This window comes from Homo sapiens, chromosome X (genome assembly GCF_000001405.40).
Source record: "Homo sapiens chromosome X, GRCh38.p14 Primary Assembly".
NCBI classification, from domain to species: Eukaryota; Metazoa; Chordata; class Mammalia; order Primates; family Hominidae; genus Homo; species Homo sapiens.
This window is the reverse complement of record NC_000023.11, coordinates 142,864,398-142,874,765: the sequence shown is the minus strand read 5'-3', so window position 1 is coordinate 142,874,765 and position 10,368 is coordinate 142,864,398. Positions and strand designations below refer to the sequence as shown.

General features: G+C 40.1%; 1 non-coding gene across 1 annotated transcript; it reads left to right on the top strand.

Moving 5' to 3' along the window:
* The first annotated feature begins 702 nt into the window (after positions 1 to 702).
* LOC124905278 (small nucleolar RNA U13) lies at positions 703 to 806 on the top strand. Its single transcript, XR_007068441.1, has one exon. It is a non-coding gene; the product is annotated as a small nucleolar RNA U13 (small nucleolar RNA).
* Positions 807 to 10,368: the final 9,562 nt, after the last annotated feature.

The window sequence follows — 10,368 nt, the reverse complement described above, 5'->3', positions numbered from 1 at the left end:
TACTAGTTTACATAGAATTGTCAACTTATATGGGACTGAAAAATCTTCCTCAAACTTACAAGACAGTGATAATTAATAAAACTCACTGCCAGGTTAGTAACTTACAGGACAGCTATAGTCAGGCACCATGTAACAACATTGAAGTAAATGACAGACCACATCTATGATGGCAGTTCCTTAAGATTATAATGGAGCTGAAAAATTCCTATTGCCTAGTGAAGCTGTAGCTGCCATAAGATCCTAGCACAACAAGTTACTCATGTGTTTGTGGTGATGTTGGTGTAAACAAACCTACTGCACTGCCAGTCTTATAAAACTACAGCACGTACAATTATGTACCGTACATAATACTTGAAAATGACAATAAATGACTATGTTACTGGTTTATGTATTCACTATACTATACTTTTTTATCAGTATTTTAGAGTGTACCCTTCCTACTTACAAAACAGCCTCAGGCAGTTCCTTCAGGGGGTATTCCAGAAGAAGGCATTGTTATCACAGGAGATGACAGCTCCATGCACGTGAGAGGCCCTGAAGACCTTCCATTGGGACAAGCTGTGGAGGTGGAAGACAGCGATGCTGATAATTATGACACTGTGTAGGCTTAGGCTAATTCGTTTGTTTGCAATTTAGCTTTTAACAAAAATGTTTCAAAAGTAAGATAATAAAAAGCCTATAGAATAAGGATATAAAGAAATAGTAATTTCGTAGTTCATAAGCATGATGATTGGGTGTTCACACACATGCGTGAGATACGCCACCCTCCCACCTTGTTAAGATGTTGGCACATAACCCGTCTTACATGAAGAAAAAAGAAAAACAATTTTTTTTACACTTGTGCAATGTGTTTGTGTTTGAAGCTAAGTGTCATGAAAGTCAAAATGTTTAAAAAATTAAAATTTATGAACTAAAAATGCACAGTAAGCTAAGGGTATTAGTACAGAAGAATTTATTCAATAAATTTAGAGTACCCTAAGTAAGTGTACAGTGTTTATTAAGCATATGGTAGTATACAGTAATGTCCTAAGCTTTCACATTCACTTACCACTCACTCACTGACTCAGAGCAACTTCCAGCCCTTCAAGTTCAAGTCACAGTAAGCCTCCTATACAGCTAAGCCATATTTTTGTATCTTTTACAACATATTTGCACTGTACATTTTCTAGTTTTCAATATATTTAGATACACAAATACTTACCATTGTGTTGCAATTGTCTGTAGTATTCAGTACAGTAACATGCAGTATAGGTTTGTAGCCTAGAAGCAATAGGCTGTCCCTTATAGCCTAGGTCTACAATGGGCTATACCGTCTAGGTTTGTGTAAGTATACTCTATGATGTTTGCACAATGATGAAATTGCCTAAGAATGCAGTTCTCTGAATGTATCCCCATAAACAACACATGACTGTATATACTTGTCTCAAGAACTGGGTCCAGTTATCTGCAAAGAGGCTTCTCTGCTAATACACAGGAGATAAATTTGTAGATATGATCAGAAAATGGTTTGTGAATATAGGATCAATTTGCTATAGTAATAATATTCTCTGGTTTGTTTCTATCTTCTATGTAGTTACTCACTAGCTACTGTCAATTCCACCTCTGAAATGTATCTTAGATGCTTTTCCACATTTCTTTTCTGATTTCACTTACCTAGGTCATCATATTTTCCCCTGAACCCCAGCAATGCCATTCTAACTGCCTTCTCAATTTTCACACTTTTTGAGGTAGATATGATTCCACGATACATGTTTAATGACACTATTTGGTGCGTTTCTATTTTTTATCTTGTATTTTTTGGTTTGTCTGCTTCCACCCATATATTCTTAGCACCTTAAGGGCATGACCAGCATCTTCTTTCATATCTACCTCAATTTATTAAGGCTGCTATTATAACGTAACATAGACTGGGTGACTTAAACAACAGACATTTATTTCTTTCTCACTGTTCTAGAGGCATCAATAGATTTCCTTCCTAGTGAGGGCCTGTTTCCTGGCTTGTAGATGGTGGCTGTCTTGCTGTATCCTTGCATGGCAGAGAGAGAGCACAAGTGCTCTACTATCTATCTGTTCCTCTTCTTATAAGGATGCTAAATTACGTCCTGGGAGCACCACCCTCTTTAACTTATCTAAATCGAATTACCTCTGCCAAGCCCCACCTCCTAATAACATCACATTAAGGGTTACAGCTTCAACACATTGAATTTGTGGGGGACACAAACATCCAGTGCATAATACCTACCAATCTGCTCCTATCCCATTTAGTGTTTAGTACAATGTTGAGTGTATTATAGGCCTGGAGGCATGAAAACCAACCTTTCAGACATTCAATTGCTCTGAGGTCTCTGACCGCAGTTGACAGGCGGTCCTGCTGCTATACTCTGATCTACCATTGTATTCCTGTGGAGGCCCTCCTAACCTCCATCCTGCTCTCAGCCTGTGAGGAAGCACAGCAGGAATGCTAAAGCAGACAAGCTTCTGGGAGATTTAAAACTTGGCCAGGTGCAGTGGCTCATGCCTGTAATCCCAACACTTTGGGAGGCAAGGCAGGTGGATCGCAAGGTCAGGAGTTCGAGACCAGCCTGGCCAATATGGTGAAACCCCATCTCTCGCTACTAAAAAAAAAAAAAAAATACAAAAATTTGCCAGGCATGGTGGCGTGCGCCTGTAGTCCCAGCTACTCAGGAGGCTGAGGCAGGAGAATCACTTGAGGCAGGGGTTGCGGTGAGCCAAGATCACGCCACAGCACTGCAGCCTGGGCGACAGAGTGAGACTCACTCTGTCTCAAAAAAAAGAAAAGAAAAGAAAAAGACTCCTTTGATAGCTGACTTTTGCTTTATGATGATTTTCCTTTGGCCTTGCCGAACTCTCTTAAGCCTAGGGTTAGAGTAACTCTTCTGTAGTCTAAGACACATCATATAAACTTTCTGCCTTCTCTCTTTCCTTCACAAGTGTCCACCCTGTATTGTGGTGTAATGGTTCTTCTGGCCTTTTTCCCCCATTTTTCCCTCACAAGCAGTGCCCCTAAAAAGTCTCTTGTATAGTAAATCCACTTCTGTTCATCCATTCTTACACTGCTGATAAAGACAAAGACATACCTGAGACTGGGCAATTAAAAAAAAAAAAAAGAGGTTGAATAGACTTACAGTTCCACATGGCTGGGAAGGCCTCACAATCATGTGGAAGGCAAGGAGGAGAAAGTCACGTCTTAAGTGGATAGTGACAGGCAAAGAGAGAGATACTGTGCAGGAAAACTCCCCCTTACGGAACCATCAGATCTCGTGAGACTTATTCACTATCAATCACAAGAACAGCATGGGAAAGACTTGCCCCCATGATTCAATGACCTCCCACTGGGTCCCTCCCACAACACATGGGAATTCAAGATGATGAGATTTGGGTGGGGACATAGCAAAATCATATCATTCTGCTCCCGGCCCTCCCAAATCTCATGTCCTCACATTTCAAAATCAATCATGCCTTCCCAACAGTTCCCCAAAGTCTTAACTCATTTCAGCATTGACTCAAAAGTCCGCAGTCCAAAGTCTAACATGAGACAAGGCAAGTCAAGTCCCTTCCGCCTATGAGCTTGTACAATCAAAAGCAAGTTAGTTACTTTCTAGATACAACAGGGGTACAGGCATTAGGTAAATACAGCTGTTCCACATGGGAGAAATTGGCCAAAACAAAAGGAGTTACAGGTGTCATGCAAGTCTGAAATCCTGCGGGGCAGTCAAATCTTAAAGCTCCAAAATAATCTCCTTTAACTCCATGTCTCACAACCAGGTCATGCTGATGCAAAAGGTGGGTTTCCATGGTCTTGGGCAACTCTGCCCCTCTGGCTTTGCAGGACATAGCCCCTCTCCTGGCTGCTTTCAAAAGCTGGCATTGAGTGTCTGCAGCTTTTCCAGGTTCAGGGTGCAAGCTGTCGGTGGATCTACCATTCTGGGGCCTGGAGGACAGTGGCCCTATTCTCACAGCTCCACTATGCAGTGCCCCAGTAGGGACTCTGTGTGGGGGCTCTGACCCCACATTTCCCTTCCGCACTGCCCTAGCAGAGGATCTCCACGAGGGTCCCACCCCTGCAGTAAACTGCCTGGGCATCCGGGTGTTTCCATACATCCTCTGAAACCCAGGCAGAGGTTCCCAAACCTCAATTCTTGACAGCTGTGCACCCACAGGCTCAACACCATGTGGAAGCTGCCAAGGCTTAGGGCTTCCACCTTCTGAAGCCATTGCCCGAGCTGTACCTTTGCCACTTTTAGTCACAGCTGGAGTGCTGGGACGCAGGGCACCAAGCCTTAGACTGCACACAGCAGAGGGACCCTGGGCCAGGCCCACAAAACCATTTTTTTCCTCCTAAATGTCCAGGTCTGTGATGGGAGGGGCTGCCACAAATGCCCCTGACATGCCCTGGCAACATTTTCCCCATTGTTGTAGTGATTAACATTTGGCTTCTCATTATGTATGCAAATTTCTGCAGCCAGCTTGAATTTCTCCTCAGAAAATGGGATTTTATTTTCTAATGCTTTATCAGGCTGCAAATTTTCCAAACTTTCATGCTCTGTTTCCCTTTTAAAACTGAATGCCTTCAACAGCACCTAAGTCACCTCTTGAATGCTTTGCTCCTTAAAAATTTCTTCCTCCAGATACCCTAAATCATTTCTCTCAAGTTCAAAGTTCCACAAATCTCTAGGACAGGGACAAAATGATGCCAGTCTCTTTGCTAAAACATAAAAAGAGTCACCTTTGCTCCAGTTCCCAACAAGTCCCTCATCTCCATCTGAGACCACCTCAGCCTGGATTTCATTGTCAATTTCATTATTAGCAATTTGATGTAAGCCATTCAAAAGTCTTTATGGAATTCCAAATTTTCCCACATTTTCCTGTCTTTTTCTGAGCTTCCCAAACTTTTTCAACCCCTGCCTGTTACCCAGTTCCAAAGTCACTTCCACATTTTTGGGTATCTACAGGAGTGCCCCCCTCTACTGGTATCAATTTACTGTATTAGTCCATTTTCATGCTGCTGATAAAGACAAACCTGAGACAGAGCAAATTACAAAAAAAAAAAAAAATGGTTTAATGGACTTACAGTTCCACATGGCTGCAAAGGCCTCATAATCATGGTGGAAAGCAAGGAGGAGCAAGTCACATCTTACATGGATGGCGGCAGGCAAAGAGAGAGAGCTTGTGCAGGGAAACTTCCTCTTATACAAGCATCAGATTTTGTGAGATTTATTTACTATCACGAGATTTGCCCCCATGATTCAATTAACTCCCGCCAGGCTCCTCCCACAACATGTGGGAATTCAAGATGAGATTTGGGTGGGGACACAGCCAAATCATATCACATATCACCATTCTTAGTGTAGGCTTTATGGGGGACCTTGAATAATACATTACTTTTTGTTTTGTTTCGTTTTGTTTTGTTTTTTTCCAGACGGAGTCTCACTCTGTCACCCTGGCTGGAGTGCAGTGGCACAATCTTGGCTCGCTGCAACCTCCACCACCTGGGTTCAAGTGATTCTCATGTCTCAGCCTCCTGAGCAGTTGGAATTACAGGCATGTGCCGCCATGCCCAGCTAATTTTCGTATTTTAGTAGAGACGGTATTTCACTATGTTGGCCAGGCTGGTCTGGAACTCCTGACCTCAGGTGATCCACCTGCCTTGGCCTCCCAAAGTGCTAGGATTACAGATGTGAGCCACCATGCCTGGCGACATTAGATTTAAATGAATCAATGAGTCAAATAATGGTGCATTTTTTCTCCTAAATACCAGATGCCTTTGTGCTACACTCTGGCTGTTCAAAGTTCTTAATATTACCTAATCTCAACTCAGAAAAAAAAAAGTTTTTTTTTTCCTCCTCAATTTATTCTTATGTTTGGACCTGGGAGCTTCTGGAGTTATTGGTCGTCTATTTATAACAAAGGTCATATAAGTCATTTGGACAGGAGAGAGGGAAACACTGGGTAGAAGAGGGCAGTTCACTGTCAAAGGCCCCACCCTCAAGCCTGGAGACCCACAGCCCTAAATGGGGACAGGCATTCCTGTTTTCATGCCCAAAAAGTTGTCTTTTGGCCTGCCACATCCCCTATCCTGTACCCATATAAACCTCAAACTGCAGACTCCAGAAGCAGACCAGCAGGTGAGAAGACAAGAAGACAAGCAGACTGATGGCAAAACAATGCGACAAAGAAAGAGAGAAGAGGAGGAATGCCTGAACTCTGAGAGGAGTTCGTCTGGGGGCGGCTGGAAAGGAATTTGACCACTGGATGGCCAGACTCCAGGGAAAGATCATCTTCCCACTCCATCACCCTTGCTGGCTCCCCATCCATCTTGCTGAGAGCCACCTTCACCACTCAGTAAAACCCCGCATTTATACTTCAAGCCCGTGTGTGACCCAGTTCTTCCTGGGATGCTGGGCAAGAGCTTGGGATGCAGAAAGCTGTCACACTAGCCCCATGCCCTTCACAAAGGCAGAGGGTCCATTGAGCTGGTTAACACTAAAGCTGTCTATGGACGGCAGGGCTAAAAGGGCACATTGTAACACATGCCCACTTCAGCTCCTGCCCCAGTCCATCTGCATGCTCTCCCACTCCTCAGGGTTTTGAGCAGTGGCAGTGACCGAACAGGCAAACCACACCCCTGTTGCACGTCCTGTAAAGGAGATCAGGGGACTCTCCTGTTTCATATAGACCTATGACTAGTGACTAGTAACTCACTCATACTTACTTTTAAACAAGGAGCTGAGAAAATAAGATTTATAATTGAATAAAGTGGTATTATCAAAAATTGTAAACTTACTTTATATCTGTACAAAACTTGTCTGAAAGTATTTAGTATGTATCCTGACTTTGCACTTGTTTTCAACTGCACTTTTTAAAGAGATAACTAAAAAGATATAAATATAACATCAGAGGAAGAGTGATGTAGTGCCTGCAGTACTGAGCTTGTTGCTGTATTTCTATTATTATCTGTCAATTGAATACTGACAGTATGGGCAACAAACAGAGAGAGGATTTCAGGGAATGTCTGGATATAATTACCTATAACACAGGTGTATGAAAGAAGGGAAACAACTGTAATAATTACAAAATTGTTATTGAACCCTTTGATCTGTCAGTTAAAAGACAGGAAATAAGATCTTCTCATAGCTTCTAAATTACGGTTGAAGTTACACTGAGCTAGATCAGGACTGTTCTCTCTCTCTTTCACACACACACACACACACACACACACATACACACTTTCTTGACCTCAGATGCAGAGCAGTGTGCTAATCACATCCTTGGGACATGTTACTCTTTCATTATTGATCTACACAAGTTTCCTGTCTTATCTTAATCTATTGTTTTGTCCTGACTTCTGCTTGTATTTGTCCATTATGCATTGCTTTAAAGGAATACCTGAGACTGGGCAATTTATAAAGACAAAAGATTTATTTGGCTCATGGTTCTGCAGGTTGTACAAGCATGGCACCCACAACTTCTTGGTTTCTAGTGAATCCTCAGGGAGTTTTTACCCATGGTGGAAGGTAGAGAGAGAACAAGCAAGTTATATGGCAAGAGAGGGAGCAAGAGAGAGATGCCAGGCTCTTTCAAACAAACAGCTGTTGCACGAACTAACAGAGTGAGACTCACTCACTACTGCAAGGACAGCAGCAAGCCATTCATGAAGGATGTACTCCATGACCAAAACACCTCTCACTAGGTTCATCTCCAACACCAGAAATCATATTTCAACATTGCGTTTGGAGGAAAATGTAAATAACTGCCCCATCTTCATACTCTTATTAATATATGTCTTTGGATATGTATGTGTCTTTGCAAAATTATACAACATATAGCATAGTGGTTAAGAGTGAAGATTCTGAAGATAGATTGCCTCAGTTTAAATCCTGGCTCTCAGGCTAAATAGCTATGCAATTTTGGAAAAATTGCTTAACATCTCTGCTATTCCATTTCCTAGCATTATTGTGAAGAGTTAATAAATTAATTAAACATGATGTCTTTAGGCCTGAAGTGGTTGCTCATACCTGTAATCCCAGCATTTTGGGAGGCTGAGGTGGGCAGAAAACGAGGTCAGGAGTTTGAGATCAGCCTGACCAACATGGTGAAACCCAGTCTCTACTAAAAATACAAAAGTTATCTGGGCATGGTGGCGTGCACCTGTAATCCCAGCTACTCAGGAGGCTGAGGCAGGAGAATCACTTGAACCTGGGAGGCAGAAGTTGCAGTGAGCTGAAATTGTGCCATTGCATTCCAGCCCGAGCAACAGAGTGAGACTCCTTCTCAAATAAATAAATAAATAAATAAATAAATAAATAAATAAATAAAATAAAAAAAGAAAATTATGTCTTTAGAAAAGCATCAGGCACATAGTAAGCCCTCAGGAAACGCTGGCTATTCTTATGGGTACACATTTACAAATTACATGAATGATAGTCCAATGTCATTGTATTTCTTAATTTTTCACTTAACACTGTATTTGTAAAATTCAGATATGATAGTGTAAGCATATCTAGTTTATTAGTTTGACCGCTTTAGACTATTAATCCATTATCTATTATATTTGTGATGGATACCTAGATGGTCTCTCTCAGCTACCACAAACAATACAATTTCTAATATGCCTATTGGGATTACATTCTGCTGCAAGTAACAGAAACAAAATAGTGGTTCATTTTTCTCACATAACGAAAAGTCTATAGGTATACGGCTTCACCCTTTGCAATAATTCAGCATTAAAATATACTTTGTCTATTATTAATAGAGCTATACCAGGTTTTTTTCTGTTGTCTTATTTAGTGTTTGCTACACATGCACACACACGTCTGTGTATGTATGCATGTAGATATAGATAATTTATTTTACCGTTAATCTTATATTTTGGACATATATTTTATAAGCAGTATATAGTTTAGTTTGTATATGCAACCATAAAATGTTTGTTTTCTAAATTTCTTGTGATTGCTGGCTTACTGGAAGCATTTCTATCATCTTAGTTTATGATTTGTTGTTTTTAATTTTTAAATTATTTCTCTTGCCTTTTTATATTTTTATGGCTTAACAATTTCTTAAATTTATTTTTTTCTGTACTGTTGGAACTTTTGCATGTTGCACAGTCTACTTATATGTGTTCCACAAATGCCTTAAGTATCATCATCTTCATTCTTTAATTCTCTAAAGCTGATTGACTTACCACTTTTCTCTGAAGATATAAAAGTTTTTTAGAATACTTTAATCATAAGCTTCCTTTTCTGTCTTTTTGTTTTATTTGGTTTTCTGATGCTTATTTTTCTTTCCATTTTATTTTTTGGCCTTTATTCTATACCTTAATTCCTCAAATTAAACATTATAATTATCGTTTTATATAGTCTTTCTACTTCAATTTCTTTCCTCCTTCTCTACCTTCCATTGGAAATACTAAACGTTCATTTTGCTACTTTGAAAACTGTAGATTCACTTTCAAAATGTTAACAGTTGTTCCAACTTCTTATTAAGACGAATGCTTTATTTTTCCCATAAGTTCCTTAACCTTATCAATAGCTATATCTTCCTATTATACTTTGTTATTCTTTCTCTTTTCTCTAATCCAAGCACATAACAAAATGTCATGCACATAAGAAAGGTTCAGTGTTTGTTGGAATCATGTTTAAATGGTAGAAATAGTATTTGTGCAATATCTCTGATAGGATCTGAATAAGTGCTTGGTGAATTAACACAGTAGAGTTTGGAATAAAACAGCACAATGAGAAGTGAAATTTTTCAAATACTTATTAAGAATTCTAGTATCTTTACAACCCAGTTAAGGAATCTTATTGATCCTGTCTTCCAAAGCATTCAATGTAACCTGTATCCAATGGCCCTATCCACATGGCGTAACTCGTCACCATTTTGAGTATACTAAACTGGATATCAAATGGTCAAAAAAAATCCCCAAAAAGACAAGAACATTATGATTACAGACATAGGCAAGGAGGAAAAAAAAACCACTTTCTGGGGAAATTTTATCACTGTGCTTTGTTCATGTAATGAAATCCAGCTGAATAGGACTTCAAAACTTTCTGAAAAGATTAAATAGTATCAGTTGAGAATATGAAAGATCCCCATGAGAAGAACTCAGTAGGAACTAAACGAAAATTGGGAAAAATCACTTACTGAATACTCAGAAATCTGGATTGAAATCCAAGGACATGATTCATTCATTCTCTCTCTCTCTCTCTCTCTCTCTGTCTCTCCTCTCCTTGAGCTTTCTGTACTTTTTAAAGGAGAATCCATAATATTTGCCTTGTATTCATGCAATGGAAAGATTAAGATAAGTAAGTCATATTAGGCTACAAAAAGTGCTTTCTGAGCTTTGAAGGA